This window comes from Homo sapiens, chromosome 10 (genome assembly GCF_000001405.40).
Source record: "Homo sapiens chromosome 10, GRCh38.p14 Primary Assembly".
NCBI lineage: Eukaryota > Metazoa > Chordata > Mammalia > Primates > Hominidae > Homo > Homo sapiens.
In genome coordinates, this window is record NC_000010.11 from 32,290,871 (window position 1) to 32,316,436 (window position 25,566).

At 37.7% G+C, this 25,566-nt stretch overlaps 1 protein-coding gene across 13 annotated transcripts in view; it reads right to left on the reverse strand.

The window, feature by feature from the left end:
- Positions 1 to 25,566, reverse strand: part of EPC1 (enhancer of polycomb 1) — a 111,019-nt gene that overhangs the window by 23,120 nt on the left and 62,333 nt on the right. For 9 of the 13 annotated variants that reach the window (NR_168510.1, XR_001747214.2, NM_001282391.3 and 6 more), the window contains exons 2-6: positions 14,902 to 15,061; positions 2,722 to 2,867; positions 2,118 to 2,324; positions 1,626 to 1,774; positions 293 to 452 (exon numbers count right to left, since the gene is read on the reverse strand). Coding sequence is in view for 8 of the 13 variants with exons in the window: in NM_001282391.3 (NP_001269320.1) it covers positions 293 to 452; positions 1,626 to 1,774; positions 2,118 to 2,324; positions 2,722 to 2,867; positions 14,902 to 15,061 (822 nt within the window). In the remaining 5 variants the exon portion in view is untranslated. Of the gene's footprint in view, positions 1 to 292; positions 453 to 586; positions 765 to 1,625; positions 1,775 to 2,117; positions 2,325 to 2,721; positions 2,868 to 14,901; positions 15,062 to 25,566 lie in introns of all 13 variants that reach the window. The other 4 variants (NR_168509.1, NR_168511.1, NM_001272019.4 and 1 more) reach the window with 4 other exon arrangements.

The following is a 25,566-nucleotide window of genomic DNA, read 5'->3' on the forward strand; positions in this document are numbered from 1 at the left end:
TTCAATTAATTCTCCTGTCTCAGCCTCCCTAGTAGCTGGGATTGCAGGCGCATGCCACCATACCTGGCTAATTTTTTTGTATTTTTAGTAGAGACGGGGTTTCACCATGTTGGTCAGGCTGGTCCCGAACTCCTGACCTCAGGTGATCTACCCACCTCCGTGTCCCGAAGTGCTGGGATTACAGGCGTGAGCCACTGTGCCCGGCCTATGTGTGTTTTTCTTTTTAACTTTCATTCTAATGATAAAATACCATCCCATTATTAGATACTATTATCACAAAAACATTAATCACCTTATTAACTTTGAACTCCTTCACATCCATTGCTTCCTGGTGTTTAAATTGACTGCTATTAGTAATAGGGATGATGGGGATGGCATAAGTAGGTTTCATTGGCTGTCTCTGTGCCATAACCTCAGACATGATCTCTCCATTGTAGTCGCCCAAATTATACCTAAAATTATACAAATGAAAGTTTAAAATTATATATATTTAAGGAATACAATGTGATGTTTTGATATACATTTATACTGTGAAATAATTACCACAATCAAGCTAATTAACATATCCATCACCTCACATAATTACCTTGTGTGTATATGTGGTGAGATTACTTAAGATCTACTCTTAGCAAATTTCAAGTATATAATACATTGTTATTAACCATGCTGTACATTAGGTCTCCAGAATGTATTCATTTCATAACTGTAAGTCTGTACCCTTTGACCAACATATAAAATATATAATTTTTATTTGTCAATTATACCTAAATAAAGCAGGAAAAAGAAGAAAATTTTGGAAAGTTAGTTTTATAAGTATTTATCTTTATAACCATTAATAACTAGCTGACTGAGATATAATTATAAACACCAATTACATTTAAGGCAAGATTGTAGTTAAACTTTGACTATTCAATTTCTCTCAAAGATTACATAATTCCTTTTGTTTCTTCCTTTTACTTTTTTGGCTTATAGCTTTATCATGGCATATAAATAGAGGATTGTTGGGAAAAAATCAAAAGCTGGAATTTTAATGTAGCAATTTTGGTGAAAGATTTGGTGAAGTTGAAAGTAATGCCTAAAATGGTGCTAAGGATCTTTCTGCTAATTAGAATTGCCTGGGCTTTAAAACTAATTTTTCTAAAAGTAATCACAAGAAATTTAAAAGTGGTTTTCTTTGGGGATAGGGACTAGAAATAGGGCAGAAGTTTTCTTTAAGTTTTCATTGTGTACCTTGCCAAATGCTTGAGTGGTAAGATATATGGGCCTTTCTCCCTCTTTCTTTACCCTTTTCTATTTAACAATCCAGTGTTTTAAATTTTATATGCATTAAAAAAGAAGCAGTACTATCAATTAACTCAAGTCCTACATGCAACTCAAGGACCAAAAAAGACCACTTTGAAATGGAAATACTTGGTATGTTTTAACTTAAGTGAATCCAGTCACTTTTAAAGAAAATAGAGGAAAACATGTAAAAGTATAAAAAGTATCATACCACATATTTAAAGTCTCTATTATTAAAAAAAGATATTTCTGTAATTAGATTATTGCATAGGAAATAAATTAACTCAATATACAAAATGTTAATGGCACTATACTTCCTCTAACATTATTAAAATATACATTACCTCTTTTCCATAATTTCCAGTGTTAAGTGCAATAGCTCTCTTTTACTTTTTTCTCTTCTTTTTATCATCTCTAGAATAGTAACAGCTCGACTTAGATCTCGTCGCAGCTTAAGCATTTTTTCGTAAGAGGCTTCATCATTTTTGCGATTCTGCAAATGTGAAGTTGCTTGTTTAATGTTAGTAAGTATTTCTAACTAGTGGTATAGTTATTGACCCATAAAATTTATATATTTGAAGGGTTAAATTAGAATTTAAAGACAATAAAAGGGAGCACAGATCACCAGGAAATCAATTTTGTATTGATTTTTAAATGGATTAACATTAAAATATAACATTAATAGCTGCATAATAAATCTTAAGTTCAATTTAAGTATTTTTCTTATAATTGGAAAGTCATATTTGAATATAAATTAAACCACAGTATTGAGACAGTCATAACTATAAATAATTTTTATTATATAATTATCAAAAAAATTCTTCAAATTCACTTACTTTTCGAGTCTGCATTTTTTCAGTACGCCTTCTAAAAGCCACATAAGGATCATTTGTGCTGGAACCATCTCGCTTCTCTTGTTTTACTGATGGAATAAGAGATGGCCCTCGACAGTTTTTTCTCTTTTTAATCCAATATTCATAAACTTCTCTAATTAGTTCATCATCTTCTTTTAGCAGTAGTTTGGCTTCCTGCAGACTGACTGGCTAAATGTAAAACCATTATGTCATTTTCATACAATACACATACAAGGTTCATAAGTATTTACTTCTAAATTTAAAGGACAATAATCAATATTACAACATTATTAACAAATGGGAAACTTGAGGAGTACATTATGCCTGTCAGTCACTGAACTAGGGTGCTTTATATACATTATTTCATCTTTACGACAATCCCAGGGCAACCAAGGCACAGAAAAATTTAAACATATTGCTCAAGATTACACAGGTTACTGATAAGCAGAGATGAGATTTGAATTCATACTTTTTAACTCTAAAGCCTGACTGATTACCCCCAACCTGCAATCTCACACTCTTTCCATACAATACAGTTCTTTACATAGAATATGTATATACTTGTTATATACAAATGAAGTTGTACCTGCTGACCACTGCCTTTTTCTAGGCGGTCAATCATCTCCTCAAATTGCAATGGGCAGATGTCCATTTTCTTTTTCAGTTTATTCACAAATACTTCATCTTCAGAATCCAAATCATAATCAGGCTGTTCAGCATCCAAACTAAAAGCTGACAGAAGGAACCATATGCAATCATTTACTGTGTGAATTCACCGACAAAAACTCCACAGATGTCTGCATAAAAACAAGACCTAGACTTTCTAAAGAAATAAGAAAGAATTCTTGGATTTTGTTTTCAGAGTCGCAAACAATCTAAGCTTAGATTTGTCTTACACATTTAAAGTTAAAGAAAGGAGATTATCTTTACTATGAATATACATATAAGTAATAAAAGACAATGGATGCGACACCCTCCAACCACTCCTAAAAGCAAATACACTAGAAGCCTATTAAGAACATAAAGCGATCATTAAAACTTATTTGGTTGAACCATGTGAAGTGCCATTTTTATAGCTCAAAAATCATCACATAGGCAATTTTTATAATATAAAAGGAGAAGGCCTTTAAGATTTTTTTCTATAATATTTAAGTCCTATTTTGTAGATTATTCAACTACTTTACCAAAAGCTAAGGGAGTGGTCTTTAAAGTTGAAGTGTTAGAAGCCACTACCAATAACAGTACAGGTTGAGAATCCCTCACCCAAAATGCTTGGGACCAGAAGTGTTTTGGATTTTGGAATATTTGAATACGTATAATGAGATTTCTTGAGGGTGGGACCCAAGTCTAAACACAAAATTCATTTTTTTCACATATACTTTATATGCATAGCCTGATGGTGATTTTATGTAATATTTTAAATAATTTTGTGCGTGAAGTTTTGACTGTGACCCATCATCACATGAGGGCAGGTGTATAATTTTCCACACGTGGAATCACATTGGTGCTCAAAAATTTCGAACTGCGGAGCATTTCAGATTTTGAGTTTTCAGCAGCTGTCACTCGGTGAGTATGTTCCTGCCTAGGAAGTTTGTTTCTCTACGCGAACACTGTCATGCTGATGGAAATGGGAGGATCTTAGATCTGCAAGAACCGCTGCTACTATCAAATGTTGTTTAATTACTTACCAAAATTAAGCTAGGTTGATATGAATATAAGCAAAATATTAAATAGCTTTAATATAAAAATTTGTCTCACATCTTTCCCTTACTTAATTCCTTCTACTAACATTACAGTCCACATCTTTAGAATGGTATAAGGCCCTTTTTTCCTATTCTCTCCAGTGTTATCAGTTCTTTATGATCTAGTAACATCAGATTTCATTGATTTCATGCAGTATGCTATTTCATGACTGCAGGCCTTTACAAAAATCCCTGTTTTTCTGCTTGCCCACCAAGGAGGCAAATGCCTATTTATTCTTTTTAGCACCCAGCCTGGTATCACTCATCTAGAATCCTTTTTTGATTTTTCCCCACCCAAGAAGTGGTTCCTAACCACTTTCATCTTTTTTAGTGGCTAAGAACCCACTTCACATACTTTATAATCTGCTTGTTAAGCATGCCTCCCTATTAGAATGTGTGTGATCTCTTTAGGGAGAGGCATGCCTTCTTTACTTCTGTACCGCTAAGTGGAGGGTAACAGGTTTCACCTTGTATGCCACCTCTGTAATGTTACGTCTATTAAAGTGGGGGGAAATAACCTCCAAACCCAGTCAGACATTAAAGTCTGTGATGGGTACAAAGGGCACTATTTAGCTGCCAAATACTGCCATCTCTGCTTAAAGCTTAACACAGTGTCTGGCCTGGGGAAGTAAAAAAACATTGGTACAGTTGAATGTATTATTTCACTGTTTTATTTTTTATTTTGACCTATATCACTTCTATAACATTCCTATTAAAATAAGTAAGTATTCAGACTATAAAAATTTCTAGATGTTAACATCTCTGTACTCACAGTACCTGCAATCATGGGCCCTCCAATGATTTTCCATCATCTCATTTTGTCATTATTACGTAAACAGCTTTTAGAGATCCTCAAGTTGATTAAAACTGTTAGATTAAAAACACTTGATATATTTTGTTCCTAACCAAAATAATGCAGGTCTATGTTGTCTAATATGGTAACCACTAGCCATGTGCGGCTAACTGAATTTATATTAATTAAATAAAATTTAAAATTCAGTTCCTCAGTCACAATCGCCACATTTCAAGTACTACAATAGCTATATGTGGCTAGTGTTGTATTAGCACAGATTACAGAACATTTCCATCATCATAGAAAGTTCTATTAAAGAGCACTGATGAAAATAATCCAGAAAGCCAAATTGATAGGGACCAACTAGCAATGTTCTCAATGTTCTTTTTTTTTTTTTTCCTGAGACAGAGTCTCTCTCTGTCACCCAGGCTGGAGTGCAGTGGGGCGATCTCGGCTTACTGCAACCTCTGCCGCCCGGGTTCAAGCGATTCTCCTGCCTCAGCCTTCCAACGAGCTGGGATTACAGGCACCTGCCACCACGCCTGGCTAATTTTCGTAGTTTTTTTTTTTGTAGTAGAGATGGGGTTTCACCATCTTGGCCAGGCTGGCTGGTCTTGAACTCCTGAACTCATGATCCACCCGCCCCGGCCTCCCGAAGTTCTGGGATTACAGTCGTGAGCCACCGCGCCCGGCCAATGTTCTGCTTCTTAAGGTTATATTTCATTTTTAGGATCTCATTTATACACTACAGTTTGGCATCCTCTTCTTTAGATCGTATCACATGTCAAACCACAATCACAAAGCCTAATTATTCATTAAAACAAAATGAGCTTGCCAAGGATCACCTTGCTTCGCATCAAAATACACTTGCCATAGCTTCTGGTAGATATTATATTATCAATGGCAAGTCACACCCAACATATCAGGGGCTGCATCAAGACTGAAAAGGATGATTTCTATCATATGAATCAAGGAGCTCAGGGTCTTTCCCTCTGACATTAACAAGGACCTGAGTGTCTGAGCCCTTTTGCCTCTGCAAGAGGCTTTTCTTTTATTCAGTGCAAACTCATATAAAATCTTAAACAGGGGCCAGGCGTAGTGGCTCACGCCTGTAATCCAGCACTTTGGGAGGCCAAGGCAGGTGGATCATGAGGTCAGGAGTTCCAGACCAGCCTGGCCAACACGGTGAAACCCTATCTCTACTAAAACTACAAAATTTAGCTGGGCGTGGTGGCGGGTGCCTGTAATCCCAGCTACTCGGGAGGTTGAGGCAGGAGAATTGCTTGAACCCGGGAGGCGGAGGTTGCAGTGAGCTGAGATCGCGCCACTGCAATCTAGCCTGGGCGACAGAGCAAGACTCCATCTCAAAAAAAAAAAAAATTATTAAATAGGAAGAGTACCCAATCTTGTTCATATATAGAATACCAAAACCCTAGAGAAAAGCTAACATGTAAAAACCCACTTTGGAATTTCATTTGACCAAAAAACCCACACCCAACAACCTTATTATGTAATTTAGCTGTAGCTGAATCTGCAGCTTCCAATAAACACCTCAACCCAAGCTAATAAAAATGTAAAATATTCATCATGTTCCTAGAATTAAGAGTATCTTCAGATTTTCTGGGTCATGTTATTGGATGTGTTCAAAGTAAAAAAAAGGGTCTAAAGAAAAACAGGCAAATAGGTCATCTTTTCTAATTAAGTTCTATCAATTAAATTGAGACCTAGCAGGTTAATAATTCTTTTTTTTTTTTTTTTTAGATGGAGTTTCGCTCTTGTTGCCCAGGCTGGAGTGCAATGCTGTGATCTTAGCTCACTGCAACCTCCGCCTCTCGGGTTCAAGCGATATTCCTGCCTCACTCAGCCTCCTGAGTAGCTGGGATTACACATGTCTGCCACCACGCCCGGCAAATTTTTGTATTTTTTAGTAGAGATGGGGTTTCACCATGTTGACCAGGTTGGTCTCCAACTCCAGACCTCAGGTGATCTGCCCGCCTTGGCCTCCCAAAGTGCTGGGATTACAAGCATGAGTCATCGCAACTGGCCTATAATTCTTAAATAATAACGAGAACTACACTGTGTAAGCTGGCTCCTTTAAAAATATTCTGATAGGAATAAACCCAGAGATGCATACAGGTAAACAGAATACAGTATTAGTGTGATACACAGATGTAGGAAAAAGTATACCATAACTGCCATGTAGACATAAAGTAAGCCTAAGTAAAATACAACAGGACTTATACATTGAATAGATTATTATTATTATTATTATTTTGAGACAGAGTCTCGCTCTGTCGCCCAGGCTGGAGTGCAGTGGCGTGATCTCGGCTCACTGCAAGCTCCGCCTCCCGGATTAACACCATTCTCCTGCCTCGGCCTCCCGAGTAGCTGGGACTACAGGCGCCCGCCACCACACCCAGCTAATTTTTTGTATTTTTAGTGGAGATGGGGTTTCACCGTGTTAGCCAGGATGGTCTCGATCTCCTGACCTCGTGATCTGCCCACCTCGGCCTCCCAAAGGGCTGGGATTACAGGCGTGAGCCACCGCGCCTGGCCAGTTAGATTATTTTTAAAGGAAATCCAGTCTGGTACAAACCGTGGTATTTAAAGTCTAGTAATAGATATTTACTATGGGGTGGGAAGTATTTGACATCTTTGCCTTAGATCTAAGACAAAGATATTAAAGTTTAGTAATAGAGATGGAATGTAAGTGTCTACGTAACAAGTGCCATTTATGACTCAAACTAAGTGTGCATTCGGTGAGTATGTCCATAACTTCAAACAGCGTTTTAAAAATACAGGAAACAAATAGTGAAAGGATATCTGGATCCATGAAACAGCACACAATGTGGATTAGGAACAGAATATACACCCTGATTGAAAGGAAGGAAGGTAGGAACACTACCCAAGGTTGAAGAAAAATTGTCACACCAGTTTTAACACGAGCACTAACTGCATGATTAATAATATCTACTTGCAAAGCTCTTGATATCAATTCTGAGCAGCAGAAAAGACTGTTGTGAAGATGTTATTTACTATGGGGTGATAGGTATTTGACATCCTTGCCTCAGCTCTAAGATAAAGATATCGCTGACTAGCCAGATCATGGAAATCTTCAGTTTCCTTTGCTTAAAAGCTAGAGCTTGGGGTCACTTCCAGAATGTACTTAGGGAGCGAAAATGGTGAATATTAGATTTGAAATCTCAGATATAAGATCTTTCGTACATAAAGTTCTCTGGTTGCTGTTATAGATTTTATCTGTCAGAAAGCAGTACCAGCAGAATATGCTGCAGGGGATGTTGAGGCAGGCAGTGGGAAGGAGAAAATAATCTTTCAGAATCAGAGCACAAAGACAGGATATCTGTTCTGAGAGGTATTGAAAATGTAGGTTCTACTTTAGGAAAAAAGTATCCGTTAAAAAAACTTTACTTAGAAGTCAAAACTTATATAAGTTGTTGAAATAAAAACAGTACAAGGAACACCTGCATACTCTTTACCCAGATTCAGCTATTGTTAAATTTTTATTTTGTTTTATCATACGCACATGTGCTCGTGCTTGTGTGCACTTTCATTATGCAGGCTCACTCTTTATTTTTTCATTTTCGAAGCCATAGGAGGGTACATTATATTCATAATGGCTTTTTTGTTTTGTTTTGTTTTTTTGAGATGGAATCTCACGCTGTCACCCAGACTGGAGTGCAGTGGCGTGATCTCAGTTCACTGCAACCTCTGCCTCCTGAGTTCAAGCAATTCTCCTGCCTCAGCCTCCTGAGTAGCTGGGATTACAGGCGCTTGCCACCATGCCAGGCTAATTTTTGTATTTTTAGTAGAGATGGGATTTTACCATGTTGGCCGGGCTGGTCTTGAACTCCTGACTTCAGGTGGCCCGCCCACCTTGGCCTCCCAAAGTGCTGGGATTACAGGCGTGAGTCCCCGTGCCTGGCCACCATTGTCTTTAAGACATTGATGTTTTTTGGGTATGTCCCCCTCCCCAAGCCTCCATCATCATCATCATCATCATCATTATTATTATTATTAGCACATTCCTCACTCTGTGTTTTTCTGATTTTTTTCTCCATTGTGATTAGATTACACATTCTTGGCTAGGTTATTGCAAAGTAAACTTTTTAAGTCCTTCTCAGAATATCCACATCTAGAGGCACACAATATTCATCTGTTCCTCATAAGTAATGACAATTTTGATCACCAGTCAAGATGTTGCCCAATTTTTTCTTCTTCTTTGTAATTAATGAGTAGTTTGTGGAGAGAGCTTAAAGCCATGCAAATCTCCTCATCAAAATTTCCTCTCTTATTGAGCACACACTGATGATTCTAGTATGATCCAACCCTGATTTATGATAATTGCAAAAATGAGTTTTTTTTTTTATTTTGAGACGGAAGCTCGCTCTGTTGCCCAAGATGGAGTGCAGTGGTGCGATCTCAGCTCACTGCAAGCTCTTCCTCCCAGGTTCATGCCATCTCCTGCCTCACCTCCTGAGTAGCTGGGACTACAGGCACCTGCCACCACGCCCGGCTAATTTTTTGTATTTTTAGTAGAGACAGAGTTTCACTGTGTTAGCTAGGATGGTCTCGAGCTCCTGACCTTGTGAATTTGCCTGCCTCAGCCTCCCAAAGTGCTGGGATTACAGGCATGAGCCACCGTGCCGGGCCACAAAAATGATTTTCTAACTCTAGCATTTTTTTTAAATTTTTTTTTATTATACTTTAAGTTCTAGGGTACATGTGCACAACATGCAGGTTTGTTACATATGTATACATGTGCCATGTTGGTGTGCTGCACCCATTAACTCGTCATTTACATTAGGCATATCTCCTAATGCTTTCCCTCCCGCCCCCGCTCCTGCATTTTTTCTATAGTGTATCAATTCAACTCTTTTTTTTTTTTTTCCTGAGACAGAGTCTTGCTCTGTCACCCAGGCTAGAGTGTAGTGGCGCGATCTCGGCTCACTGCAATCTCTGCCTCCCATGTTCAAGCAATTCTCCTGCCTCAGCCTCCCGAGTAGCTGGGATTACAGATGCACACCACCATGCCTGGCTAATTTTTGTATTTTTAGTAGAGATAGGGTTTCACCATGTTGGCCAGGCTGGTCTCGAACTCCCGACCCCAGGTGATCTGCCTGCCTCGGCCTCCCAAAGTACTGGGATTACAAGTGTGAGCCACCGCGTCCCGCCGATTTTTACTTTTTCAATGGTTTATAATTATTGTACTTTTATTGTTGTGCGAACTGTCCCAGAATTAGCCAGCGGAAACCCCTGTGTCTTCACGACACACCACCATCATTTTTTTTGGAAGCTTAATATCCAGTATAACAAGATGTTACAGGGCCATCTTGTACCTACCCTGCCTCAGCCCTGTAATCAGCCATTTCTCCAAGGCTTCCTGGGCCGTTTAGTGGGGAATAAATTAGAGAATAGGTGCTATGTTTGCTTATTTTTGCTTCTTGGCCTTACAGAGGAAAGAATTAGAAGCACATTTATATCTATCTATCTATCTATCTATCTATCTATCTATCTATCTATCTATCTATCTGCCTGCCTACCTACCTACGTACCTACATGCCCACCCACTCATACACGCAAATGCATATAAAAATATACACATTGACTACCCTTTTAAAAAAGGCTTCGAGTATTAAGCGGAGAGCCAGGTATAAATCTAATAAAACATGTGCAGGATCTGTATAATGAAAATTATAAAGTGTCAATGAAAGAGATAAAAAAAGACCTGAATACTTCAAGTGTCAAACATTGTGTTCATGACCTGGAAGATTCACATAGAAAAGATGTCAGTTCTCTCTAAATTGACCTATAGACTTAAGGCAATTCCCACAAAAATATCAGCAAGTTTCTCTGTAGACATAGACAAGTTTATTCTAAAGTTTATATGTAAAGGAAAGACCTTAAAATATCAAAACGATCTTGAAAAAGAAAGATAATACAGGAGGAATCATTCTCCCTGATGTTAAAAATTACTATAGAGTTGCAATACTCAAGACAGCGATATTGTCTTGGGATAAACACAGAAATCAATTGAATAGAATTGAGAATCTACAAACAGATCCACACAACAATGTCCAGTTAATTTTTGACCAGGAAGCAAAAGCAATTCAATAGAGGAAGGAAAGCTTTTTAAACAAATGATGCTGGAACAACTGGATATCAAGAGGGAAAAAAATGAGCTTTGATCTAAACCTCTTGCTCTATTCAAAAATTAACTTAAAATGGACCACAGACTTAAATGTAAAATGGCAAAACTTTTAGAAGAGAACATAGGAAAGGCAAAGAGCCCTTAGACTTGACACCAAAAGCAGGATCCATTACGAGGAAAATTGAGAAACTGGATCTCATCAAAATTAACAACTTTGGTCCCATGAAAGTCTATTAAAAAAAAAAGATGAAAAGACATTAAGAAATGGTAGAAAAATTTCGCGGCTGGAGGTGGTGGCTCACGCCTGTAATCCCAGCACTTTGGGAGGCCAAGGCGGGCGGATCACGAGGTCAGGAGATCGAGACCGTCCTAGCTAACATGGTGAAACCCCATCTCTACTAAAAATACAAAAAATTAGCCAGGCCTGGTGGCATGCGCCTGTGGTCCCAGCTACTCGGGAGGCTGAGCTTGCAGTGAGCTGAGATCACTGCACTGCACTCCAGCCTGGGTGACAGAGCAAGACTCCGTCTCAAAAAAAAAAAAATTTTTTTCCAAGTCATATATCTGACAAAGACACTGTGTCTAGAATATTATCTTTTTAAAAACACCTCAAACTCAACATTAAGACACCCATCCCATAGAAAGTAAGCAAAAGAGGCCAGGCATGGTGGCTCATGCCTATCATCCCAGCACTTTGGGAGGCCGAGGCGGGTGGATCACCTCAGGTCAGGAGTTTGAGACCAGCCTGGCCAACTTGGGGAGACCCCATCTCTACTAAAACAAAACAAAAATTAGCTGGGCATGGTGGCACGCGCCAGTAGTCCCAGCTACTCGGGAGGCTGAAGCAGAAGAATTGCTTCAATCTAGGAAGCGGAGGTTGCTGTGAGCCGAGACTGTACCACTGCACTCCAGTCTGGGCAACAGAGTGAGACTCCATCTCAAAAAAAAAAAAAAAGGAGGGTGGGGGAGCGGCGCAAAAGACATGCACGATCATTTCACCAAAGAGGATGTACAGACTGGCAAATAAACACATGAAAAGATATTTCATTTTAGCCATTTAGGAAAATGTAAATGAAAAGTACAATAAGATATTACTACACACCTATTAGAATAGGCTAGGATAAAAAATAGTGCAACCCCCAGTGCTAGAGAGATATGGAGAAACTGGGTAATATACACCTGGTGATAATATAAAATGGTACATCTACTCCAGGAAACAGTGTGGAAACAGTGTCCTTCCAAACTAAAAATGGATGAACCCTGCAACTACACTCATGAATATATACCCCAGAGGAAGAAAAACTCATGTTCTGGCTGGGCGCAGTGGCTCATGTCTGTAATCCTAGCACTTTGGGAGGCCAAGGCAGGTGGATCACTTGAGGTCAGGAATTCGAGACCAGCCTGGCCAATATGGTGAAACCCTATTTCTACTAAAAGTACAAAATTAGCCATGTGTGGTGGTGCACACCTGTAATCCCAACTACTCGGGAGGCTGAGGCACGAGAATCGCTTGAACCAGGAGGTGCAGGTTGCAGTGAGCTGGGACTGCACCACTGCACTCCAGCCTGGGTGACAGTGTGAGACTTTGTCTCAATAAACAAACAAACAACAACAAACAACTCATGTTCTCAAAAAAACTTATACATGAATATTCATAGCAGCTCTATTTGTAATAATCAAAAACTGGAAACTACCCAAATGTTCTTCAATGAGTGAATGATTAAACAGACTGTGATGTATACATATCATGGAATACTGCTCAGCAATAAGAAGGAACGAACTATTCATATATCCAACAACTGAATGAACCTGTGATACTGAGTGAAAAAAAGCCAACCTCAAAAGGATACATACTGCATGATTCCATTTATGTAACACCCGTGAACATAATTATACAGATGGATAACAGATGAGTGATGGTCAGGGGATGGGGAGAGGCAGGGATATGGTTATAAAGAAGTAAGAAGAGGGCATCTGCTGGTGATGGTGCAGGTGAGTGTCTTGATAGTGGTGGTGGTTATGCAGGGCTATACATGATAAAATTACACACAACTACAAACACACACACACATATGTGGTACACATCTAACTGGTGAAATCTGCGTAAACTCTAGATTGTACCAATTTCAATTTCTTGGTTTTGATACTGTACAATAGTTGTACATGAAGTTAATACTGGATGAGGCTGGAGGAACTGTGCAGGAGACTTCTCTGTACATTTCTCTGCAACCTCCCATAGATACAGGGCAGCTAACACAAATTTAGCAGCATTATCTTTATTAATATTCCAAAGTATACATCTTTCCAAAGACAAGTTACCTCAAATTTGTACAATAAAAAATTTTCTCCCAAATAAGCTACAATTCTGCTGTCATTTATTAATATTTGATTATAATGTCAGGAGTCAATTCCTTTTTCAATATAGTAGTACCTTTTGACTTTACTGACCACATATAATTCACTAGTTATCAGTCAAATGTATTTTATAGATTCTGATCATCAATAAGTAAGCCATCTTTAAGACATGTATTAATTTTTTCTCATAATGATAATGTAAATTAGTATAATTTTATCTTATTTTACTCAACCTTGCTTTAACCTAAAAGCATGCATTTATAAGATAATATAGCTTGTGGCAGCAGAACAGAATGTGGTTTTAGTTAACATACATGGGGAAGATCAGATCCTTAGCTTTCAAATCCACCTTGGCATGATTTTCTGGAAAACAACTTTTTAGGTTCTAATATCTATCACACTTGTTTATAACGTCTGTGTCTGTCTCTTAAATGTAACAAAACGTGACTGCACAAGTAGACTAGTTAAAATTGGTTTCTCAATGTGCTTGCAAGGAACAATAAAAACAAAATAGGTTTACGCTGTCCTAAAGAAAAAAAATTTAGATGGTCCCCTAGAAAAACCTCTTGATCAGGCCAGGCACAGTGGCTCATGCCTGTAATCCCAGCACTTTGGGAGGCCGAGGCGGGCGGATCACCTGAGGACAGGTGTTTGAGACCAGCCTGACCAACATGGAGAAACCCCGTCTCTACTAAAAATACAAAATTAGCTGGGCGTGGTGGCATGCGCCTGTAATCCCAACTACTCGGGAGGCTGAGGCAGGAGAATCCCTTGAACCCAGGAGGTGGAGGTTGTGGTAAGCCGAGATCGCGCCATTGCACTCTAGCCTGGGCAACAGAGTGAAACTCCGTCTTAAAAAAAAAAAAAAAAAAGAAAAAAGAAAAAAGAAAAACCTCTTGATCATAAAGATTAACAAGACAATGAAAGCTGCAGGAATTTTACCTTACTAACCTTTCAATTATTTGTTTTTAAGTTGTTAATTAATTGGAGATTGAGTAAAAGCTCTCAGCTATTCATCACCAAATGTCACACAGTTATCAAACGATCACTGCTTATGAAGAACCTATCACTATTAAGTGAAATAAGTTCCCAATCAGAGCACTAAATTTTAAAAATTAGCATCACTCTACTAGAAAAAACAGATTTGGGGTTGGCAAGCTATGGCCTATGGGCCAATTCTGGCCTGCCATCTGTTTTTATCAGTAAAGTTTTATTACAACACAGCGACATTCATTCATTTTTCTATTCTCTTTAGCTGATTTTGCACTGCAACAGCAGAACTGAATAGTTGTGACAGAATGACCCACAGAGTCTACAGTAGTTACAATCTGACCCTGTACAGAAAAAGTCTGCTGACTCTCACTTACATCAAGAAGTTCTTTAAGACTATTAATATTATTAATTCTAAACAGGAAGAAAACTATTTCTATATCTGAGTTTTTTTTTTTTTTTCTTATCCTTCTTGACTAAAGCAGCATAAGATTGTATGCTGGAATGAAACAAAAAATGTAGAATAATAAATGCTATCTTTTCTTGTCAGATATCTCAAATATCATTTTAAAAGTTGAAAATGGACTCTACTAACTCTTAAGCTGATGCTGGTCAATGAAACAAATAACAAAAACGCTCCTGAAGAGATAAAAATCTGTCAAGTTACATAATAAGAGAAATATAGAAAATACAATCATTAAGAGAATCATTACTTACGCTGTATGTGAATGAGCTGCTTTGGCATCTTAAATTCCCCAGGATATATAGACTCATAGTAAGCAATATTACTTTCTGCCTCTGGGACCGGTATAACCATATTATCCCTCTTCTCGCCATACACCTGCTGTGCTGAAATAGCCCGCTGAAGATGATGTTCCTAAAAAGAAGAAAAAACAGGTAAGTTCATGTATTTTTAAAAAGCAGTAAACAGATCATATAGCCAAAAAGGTTTTTTTGGCTCATTTGTTTTTAAAATAGAGAGATTCTAGTAGTAGATCTTAAAAGCATGTTGTTAACACGATACAACTAGTGATAAAATCAGTTCAGGTAGAAACAAAAAAAATTTTGTCAGAAACACTGAATATTTCCTCAATATAGCAAAAGGAATTGCCAAAACAGAATTATATAAAGAGATTCAAAATAGTTGACAAAAACAAAGCTTGCATTTTACGGATGAGACGTGGAGAAGGAGTTAAAACATTTGAACTTGTTATATAAAGAAAGTGGGCTATGGTTAAAAATATTTTATTGATTCAAATCTCTTATTCATGTAATACTTCATAAATTTAGAAGGTATTTGAATACAAATCAACTAAATATGGTTTCTTCAAAGAAGGGCAGAGGTTATCTCCATTTTGAGTTGAAACTGACAGACTCAAATCCTGGTCTTTTGTCTGAAATGATAACCTTTCATACACATTTCCAGAGCCCTTTCTGAGCAGCTGCAGAGTATGTGTAGGGGCAGAAAGCACATTCTCTGGACTCAGGCTGTCTGATTAGAACCCAACTCCGATACTGAAACAGTTTGTGACTCCCGGCAAGAAACCAGTCTTCTAAATCTATTTCCTACAGTAAGAGAAAAAAAGAATCTACTGTACAGAGTTGGAGATTTAAGTAAGATAAATGTGAATAAAATGTTTAGTATAATGCCTGACATATAACAGGTGCTCAAAATAAGTTCTGGTTTAGCCACCACACAGAAAGCTTTTCCTAGTTTGTGATACTACCAACTGCCATATAAAGGTATTAGTCTCATCCAGGCCTATCAACACTGAATTTTGGTATATGCCTTATTAAATTCAAACACACACACACACACACACACACACACAAACAAGTTCATGGATAAAAAGCATTCTAATAGTATGAAAAGTTCCAGTCTTCATAGGTAGTCCATTAGGAATGTGTATTTTCTTCCCAATATTTTAATGTATATACAAATGTGTACATATTTAAATATGTAAAGGAATATATATATTCCTATATAAATGGATATAAGATATACACAATGTAGAACTTTATCCCTAGCTTTGGTTTGCTTGATATAACCTGGAGATCTTTCCATACCAATACTTCTACTACATTCCTTACAATAGCTGCATTATATTCCACTATATGGACTTACCAAATTTATTTAACCAGATACAAATTGAAAGGGAAAAAACTCTGGCAACAACCTAAATGCCTACCATCTCCTAAGTGCTACAAAGAACCACTCATGTATTACTATGTACAAGATATCTTTGTGGACTTGTGAAGGCATCTGTAGGACAACTACAAATGGAAGTGCTCAAAGGGTATATCTAAGGTTGTAACAACACATATTCCTCATTCCTTAAGTAACTATTTCTCAATATTCCTTTTGAGTTTAAAACTCTTTGCCCTTCTTGTTACTTTAGGTTAATTTCTTTACAAATGATAAAGTTTCTTTTCTTTCAAATGTTGCTCTTCTTTGCTCATTTTCAAAAGTGTTGCATTTTTCTTATTCATACTCAATTTGATTTTTGATTCTAAACCCTCAGAATGCCTAATGACTCCTGGGAGCTGGTAGAAACTAAGTCTTTATGTGTGTATATGGGGTGGGGAAAACAGTGTCACTAAACAGCAAGTTCTATCTTCTACTTTGGTAGTCTATTGCCATATTTACTGGCCCTGAATGCCCACTGACACAGGGCATTTTTGCCAACCCCAGTGTATGTCAGTTACATGCGTGCTCTTGAACTCTCAGATATCCTCAAATGTCAAGAGAAATATTCTTAGCACACACACCAAACTCAAGGAGAGAGTACGGAAGCAAGACACGTGATTCATAGTTTGCTTTTTGTTCCCAGCTCACAACCCTTAATCTCTTAACCCTTAATTTCTATGTGTAGGTGAACATATAAGTTAGATGTTTTACCTTTTGGACTGTTGCAAATCTGTCTTACTCCTGGTGATGCCTTTAGAACATAGCATTCAAGCATTCGTTTATTTTGTTTAACTAGTTCTGATATCTGGCACCTGGTCCAAATGAGAGGTAGCTGTAGTTGAGAACAGAATATGCCAATGTCGGCTGGACGTGGTGGCTCATGCCTGTAATCCCAGCACTTTTGGGAGGCTTAAACTCCCTTGAGCCCAGGAGTTTGAGACCAGCCTGGCCAACATGGTGAAACCCCATCTCTACTAAAAATACAAAAATACAAAAATTAGCTGGGTGTGATGGCATGTGCCTGTAATCTCAGCTACTTGAGAGGCCGAGGCAGGGAGAATCGCTTGAATCTGGGAGGCGGAGGTTTCAGTGAGCCGAGACTGCACCGCTGCACTCCAGCCTGGGTAACTGAGCAACAGTCTCAAAAAAAAAAAGCATACACCAATGTCTGAGACTATTAGTTGGTCAGAAAATGAATACTTCACATATTACCACATCCTCCCACCTCAAGATTATGAAACAAATTCACCTTTGTCAGGTCTTTACCCCTTTTAATAGTTTATTTTTACATCTGTAATTTATTTTTTCTATAAGAAGAGATAAAGATCTACCTTTTTTCCCCAAATAGTGAGCCATCTGTCCTAATGTCATGGATGAAATAATCTGTTCTCCTTAATCATTAAAAATGTTCCCACAGGAATCCTCACACACTGTTGGTGAGAATGTAAATTAGTACAGCCACTATGGAAAACAGTATGGAAGTCCCTCAAAAATCGAAACAAATAAAACTACCATACGATTCAGCAATCTCACTGCTAGGTATATACCCGAAAGAATGAAAATCAGTATATCAAAGAGGTATCTGCACTCTCATGTTTACTGCAGTACTTTTCACAATAGCCAAGATTTGGAATCAACCTAAATGTCTATCAACAGATAAACGGATAAAGGAAATGTGGAACTACACACAATGGAATATTATTCAGCCATAAAAGAGAATGAAAACATCTATCATTTGCAACAACATGGATGGAACTGGAGGACACTATGTTAAGTGAAATAAGCCAGGCACAGAAAAAAAATTTCGCATATTCTCGCTCATTATGTGGGAGCTAAAAATTAAAACAATTGAACTCAATTGTTCATTAAAACAATAGAAGGGTACTGGGGAGGGGTAGAAAAAGTGGGGATGGTTAATGGGCAGAAAAATATAGTGAGATAGAATGAATAAGATTTGAACAGTATTTGATAGCACAGCAGGATGATGACAACCAACAATAATTTATTACATATTTTAAAATAACTAGAAGAGTAGAATTGGAAAGTTCCTAAGACAAAGAAATGATAAATGCTGAAGTGATGTATGTCCCCATCACCCTGATGTGATTATTACACATTGTATGCCCCTATCAAAACATCACATGTACTCCCTAAATATCTATACCTATTATGTACCCATAATAATAAAAAATTTAAAAAATTATCTATATTTTAAAATACATTTCACTTGCAACTGGGAGTATTTTCAAGCTTTTTTTTTTTTTTCTTTTCCCATTCCACTCAACTCTCTCCTATGCCAGTATTTAATGTGTTTTAAACAACACAGCCTTGGGCTGGGCACGGTGGCTCACGCCTGTAATCCCAGCACTTTGGGAGGCCAAGGCAGGCGGATCACTTGAGCCCAGGAGTTCGAGACCAGCCTGGGCAACATAGCCACACCCTGTCTCAAAAAAAATAAAAATAAATAAAGAAGAAGAACAATGTAGCCTCATACTGCATTTTATTATCTAGTATGGTAATTTCCCACTCATACTTTTTCCTTATCAGGTTTCTCATTTATTTTTTTCAAATAAACCATAATAAAATTAATTCTTTAGGTATAAAACATGACCCCTAAGGAGTTCTGATTTTTACAAGCAATATAGTATAGTGGTTAAGAACATGGGCTTTGGCCAGGTGTGGTGGCTGATGCCTGTAATCCCAGCACTTTGGGAGGCCAAGGAGGGTATATCGTTTGAGGTCAGGAGTTCAAGACCAACCTGGCCAACATGGTGAAACCCCGTCTCTACTAAAAATACAAAAATTAGCCAGGTGTCGTAGTGCACACCTGTAGTTTCAGCTACTCAGGAGGCTGAGGCAAGAGAATCGCTTGAACCCAGGAGGCAGAGGTTGCAGTGAGCTGAGATGGCACCACTGCACTCTAGCCTGGGTGACAGAGTGAGATATTGTCTCAAAAAAAGAAAAAATAAAGAACATGGATTTTGTAATCAAGAGTTCCCTGGTATTTGAATGTTGGCTCCACAGTTTACTAACTCTATGACTTTGGGACTTGGGATAAATTATTTATTCTTTTCCAGCAAGAGTTTTATTATTTGTAAATGTGTATTACATACCTACCACGTGGGATTGTGGTTAACATGCCCAAGATGTACTAGTACCCAATGCATGGCAGCTAGTCTATACCTTTCATTATTAGAGAAGCTGAAGATTTTCATACCCTTAGTTACCATTTATATCCTCTTGTATGAATAGTTCTGTAGAAAAAAACTTCCCTTATGTTATATCCACTTTTCGTAACTGTGAAACCAAAATTTTGTGTATCAATATTATAGTGAACACTCACTGCTTTAAAAAATCTTATTTGTAGTTTTCTTGTACAAAATATTTCACACAGGCCAGACGTGGTGGCTTACCTGAGGTCAGGAGTTCAAGACCAGCCTGGCTAACATGGTAAAACCCTGTCTGTATTAAAAATACAAAAATTAGCCAGGCATGGTGGCAGGTGCCTGTAATCCCAGCTACTCGGGAGGCTGAAGCAGGAGAATTGTTTGAACCCGGGAGACAGAGGCTGCAGTAAGCGGAGATCACGCCACTGCACTCCAACCTGGGCAACAGAGCAAGACTCTGTCTCAAAAGAAAAAAAAATTCACATAATTACCTCTTATCTTTAACAGTCAAGAAAACAATCTCCATTTTATAAATGGCATTTGGGGTGAAGTGTCATGATATATGCAACATACTTTCAAATGGTTCAGAAAACAAGATTTAAAGAACAGGAAAAAAACCAGCTGGGCACGGTGGCTCACGCCTGTAATCCCAGCACTTTGGGAGGCCAAGGCGGGCGGATCACGAGGTCAGGAGATCGAGACCATCCTGGCTAACACGGTGAAACCCTGTCTCTACTAAAAATACAAAAAAAAATTAGCCGGGTGTGGTGGTGGGCGCCTGTAGTCCCAGCTACTAGGGAGGCTGAGGCAGGAGAATGGCATGAACCCAGGAGGCGGAACTTGCAGTGAGCCGAGATTGCACCGCTGCACTCCAGCCTGGGCGACAGAGCGAGACTCCGTCTCAAAAAAAAAAAAAACAAAAAAGAACAAGAGAAAATACTACAAAATATTGCAGAATCTGGGTTGAAGGTATATAGATGGCCACTGTATTACTCTTTCAACTTTTCTATACATTTGAAAAATTTTATAATAAAAAGTTGGATAAAGAAGAGGGCACTACAGGTCAGGGATGTATATAATGTAAAACAAATATGGTTAGGTTCTTCTAAGGCTTAAAAAAAAAACAACAAAAACCTTCCTTCCTCAACAGCTGAAATAATCATTACCTTCTACTATTCATATTTACTCCCTCCCCAAGTACAGCAGTTCTCCCTTATCCACAGGGGATACATTTCAAGACAATCTCAGTGGATGGCTGAAACCACTATTGAACCCTGTGTATGCTATATTTTTCCTATACGTACATACCTATGATAAAGCTTAATTTACGAATTAGGCACAATAAGTAACAATAATAGAACAAATATAACAATATACTGTGACAGGTTATGTGACTCTAGTCTCTTTCTCAAAATATACCGCATTCACCCTTATTGTGATGTGAGAAAATGCCTCCATGATGTGATGAAGTGAGGTGAATAAGGTAGGCACTGTGATGTAGTGTTAGACTACTACTGAAAACTAATTTAAAACGTTTTTAAAAACTCATTTTAACTTAGAAATCATTTCTAGAATTTTCCACTTAATATTTTCAGACTGCAGTTGGACTGTAGGTGACTGAACCTGCAGAAAGCAAAACCATGGATGATGGGGGATTGCTGTGTACACCAGGAGCCTGAGACGAGGAGACCACACAGAGAAGGCCAGTGAGGCTGAAGCACAGTGAGTGAGGTGGTGAGTGACAAATTCTTATGTACAAGGAGTCAAGCGCCAGATCATGCAGAGTCTTAGGGGTCGTGTCAAGGATCTGTCCTTTTTCTACGAGCAATAGCGGCTGCAGGGTTTTACAAGAGCACCTTGGCTGCTATGTAGTAAATGGACCACACTTTATAAAACAGAATATACGTAGCCCTTAAATATTTCTGAATGACATTTAATGACATGCACAAACCATCAATTAGAGAGACATCTGAAAATTGTAAGTTCAAGATATTTAAATACTTTTAAAGAAAAAGACACAACTGAGCCTATCTATACAGAAAACAATCTAAAGTATAGATATATATCTCAATCATCCCTATATTCCTTTATCCCCTACCTTTATTTTTTCATAGCATGTACCATCCTCTGAAAGGCCATATAGTTGGTTTATTTACTACCGTTAACCATCTCTCCCTACACCTGCACCCCCAATCTAAGCAACATAAGAGAAGGGATTTGTCTATTTTGTCCACTGCTGTTATCACCACCCTAAAATAGTGTTTGGAACAAAGCGGAGTGCTTAAATGTTATGTGTGTATGTATATGTGCATGTACACATACATGTGCACGCACACACAGTTTTAAAAAACATTTTTAAAACTCAAAGCTATATACACTATTTTCATAAAATAACATTAAATAAGAAAAAGTGGGATTTTTTTTTGCTTTCAGTAGGAAGAAGATGCAAAATGGTAAAGACAAGAAACAAAATAAATTAGGAAATGAGTTCTGTGTTTCATTCAACAGATATCTAATGACTTGACTAAATATCTGAGATTATACAAGTGTAAATTACAATGATATTCCAAGCTGTTTCACTGAAGTACTACTTTCAAATTATTAATAGGTAGTCTAATGAGAAGTTTGATAATTTAAGTGTACAGAAGGCTGGGTTTGAAACTTAGATTTTTTTTTTTTAAGGACTTCTGAGAGCATGGTAATGTAAACTGTAGTTCTTAAAGGAGGATACAGCCATTCCGAACCAATGACAATGGAATCATTTTTTTCAGAAATTATCCACTAATCATTGATAGAAAACTTTTGAAATACAGTTTGGGAAATGCTGGTATAAAACAAAAACCAGAGATACAGGGCAGAACATCCAGACTTAATTCTGTTCATTAATTAACTTAGTCTAAATTTACTGAGTGCTAACCATTATGTGCCTGGCACTGGGACACAATGGCAAATAAGAGAGACATGCTCTACATGACACTGCAGAGGTTACACTCTAACAGGAAGGACAGATACTAATGAAATCTAAAAATAAATTGTACAGTGTAATAAAGTACTATGAAGGAAAAGTACAATATGTTTAGAGAAATATAAACAGGAAACATTTCTGAGACTATCGCTTTATCAGTGGAGAAAGTGACATTTAAGCTAATATCTGCAGGAATTGGAGTTAAGTCAAAGATTGTTTTAAGAAGAAGGAACAGGCTGGGCGCGGTGGCTCACGCCTGTAATCCCAGCATTTTGGGAGGCCAAGGCAAGAGAGTCACCTGAGGAGTTTGAGACCAGCCTGGCCAATATGGTGAAACACCGCCTCTACTAAAAATACAAAAATTAGCTGGGCGTGGTGGCGGGTGCCTGTAATCTCAGCTACTCTGAAGGCTAAGGCAGGAGAATCGCTTGAACCTGGGAGGCGGAGGCTGCAGTGAGCTGAGATCGCGCCACTGCACTCCAGCCTGGGCGACACAGCGAGACTCTGTCTCCAAAAAAAAATAAATAAATAAAAATAAAAAGAGAAGAGGGAATAGAGGGAATAGCTATGTTTGAAGACCACTTACTATTTATAACATGCTGGATGGGTAAAATTTCTTTAATTATAAAATATTTACGATAATTAGGTTCAGCTGTGATTTCACAATTAATTGCTGTAACACCAAGATCAATTCCAATTTTTCATTGTACAGAGGCATAAACTCTCAAATCAGCCTGATTTTAAAGTGAACAAAGGAAATAAAGTTAAATAATTTAAAGAAATATTTAATATGCAATCTTACAAAAATGGAATTGGAATCAGATGAACCATAGCTTATAATTAAGCAAATAGCTTAAAAGCCTCTTGGGCTGAAAGTAATTATAGATAAGTTTTCTATACATAGCAATATGAACAATAAAAAGAGGATGAGAAAACACTGAACAACAATCTTTAGAAAGTTCAGAGGCACACTTTCATGTCATGAGCTTTGCTATCATGGCACCCAGCTCCAAAAGTATTCACTTTTGTTACTTCAGCCTGCCTAGTGCAATAGAAGAGTGCCAGGTTTTAGAGACCCAAGTGTGAATTTTAGCTTCAACATCTGACTCCAAGTCCAGCAAGTCACCCTGCTATGTATTTTTATTATTTGCAAAATATATTTTCCTTACCCATCTCCCTCTCTTCTCTCCAGCAGGAAATGCTCCCTTTTCTCTTTATTACTTTTGCTTACACCATGAAAAACATTGCCTTTTCAGGTGGCTTTCTATGGTCTCTGTTAAATGCATGGTTAGCTAACACAAAAGGGTAAGCCTGCTCTAAACAGGCCATATCACTAATGTTAAGAAGCCAGAAATATTTTTTATTAAATAAGAGTGACATTAACTATCTGTAGATAAAGCCTATCTGGAGGCATAGGTTTTGCTAATGTGTCATAAACATCTGCTCTGATCCTCTGTTCACATGGGTGGGTATCTTTGCTGCTATCGCCATTCCTCATGCTCTCACCCCACCATTGGAAATTCCCACTTGATCTTCAAAGTCGGGTTCAAAATGATCTTTTCTCTACTTCTCCTAGGAAGAATTTCTCTCTCATCTGTGATTCTGCAATACTAAATTTTATACTTAGGGCATTGTGCTATCACTATTTATGTTTACATACTGATCTCCAAAATGTGAGCTCTTTAAGAGTAGAGACGATGTCTAATTTGCCTTTGCATCTTTTCCTTCAAAAGATGTATTCTCATGTACTATTTGGGGACTGTAAATCTTTTAAGGTTGAGGACTAAATAATATTGTCTTTGTAATGGACTCATTGCCTGGTATAATATTTTGGCTTACTGTAGGCGCTCAGTATTTTATAAAATACCATTGTCAAAAGATGAAAAGGATCAACCTAAATAAAACACATGAAAAAAGACATTTCTACTTGCTCTATAATAAATTATAATAAACATTACCAATCTAAAAAGAGCTATTCAAGGTTATATTATGCAGATTCCTAAACAAAGATTAAATTATATTCATTTATTCATTAAATTTTTATTTAAGCAAATAATGATCATACCACTTAGACATAACAATTAAGGCTACCTTTAGACCTTTTTGGTTACTGAATTAAAAACAGCTTATTAAAAGCAACAATATCATACAAAATTCCATATGTGTAAATAAGTGATGACTAATTATGTAAGAAGCTACTTAAGAAGTTTAAATCCCTGAATATTTATGCATGTAGAGGGAGACTCCATTGCTAGTTGAACAAAAGGCCTGAGCTGAATTATTTTCTCTACTACTTTCAAATGACATTTCTAAGAACCCAAACAAGTAACTCTATGGAGGAACACTGCTCCAGCAAATACCACCTAGTTTTTCTACATCCAAACGCCCAACTCTTCCCTGACTCGTTATAATCGCCTCTAACTGGTTCCCTGCCTGCACCTTCATCTGTTCTTCATGGAACAGTGAAAGCAATCCTGTTAATATACAAGTCAGGTCATGTCATTCTTCCATTCAAAATCTTACACTTATTTCCCATCTCACTCAAAATAAATCCCAAAGTCCTTAAAATTGCTTCCAAGGTCCAACATGATTTGCACTCCCCTTTCCTTGTTACCTCTCTGGTACTGTTAACTATTCCCCTTTTCACTCACTCTGCTATAGTCATACTGGATTCCTTACTGTTTGTCAATCTTGTAAGAATCAGCCTGCTCCCTCACCTCAAGTTTTTGTTTCAATGTCATCTTCCCAGACTGATCAGATCATTCCTTACCAGTTATCCCACTATATGCCCAGCAGAATGGCTAAAATAGAAAAGGCTAACAACATCACATGATGGGGAGGATATGGAATAACTAGAACTCTCATACATGGTTAGTGAGGAAAGGCCGATAGATACTGTAAGACCAAACACACACAATCCATAGCCCGGCAAGTCTGCTCCTAAGAATTTACTCAAGAGAAAGGAAAACACAAGTCCACAGAAAGACGTGAGTAAGAATGTTCAAAGAGCTTTATTCATAATGGGCCCAAACTGGAAGCCACTCAAATGTCCACCAAAATAG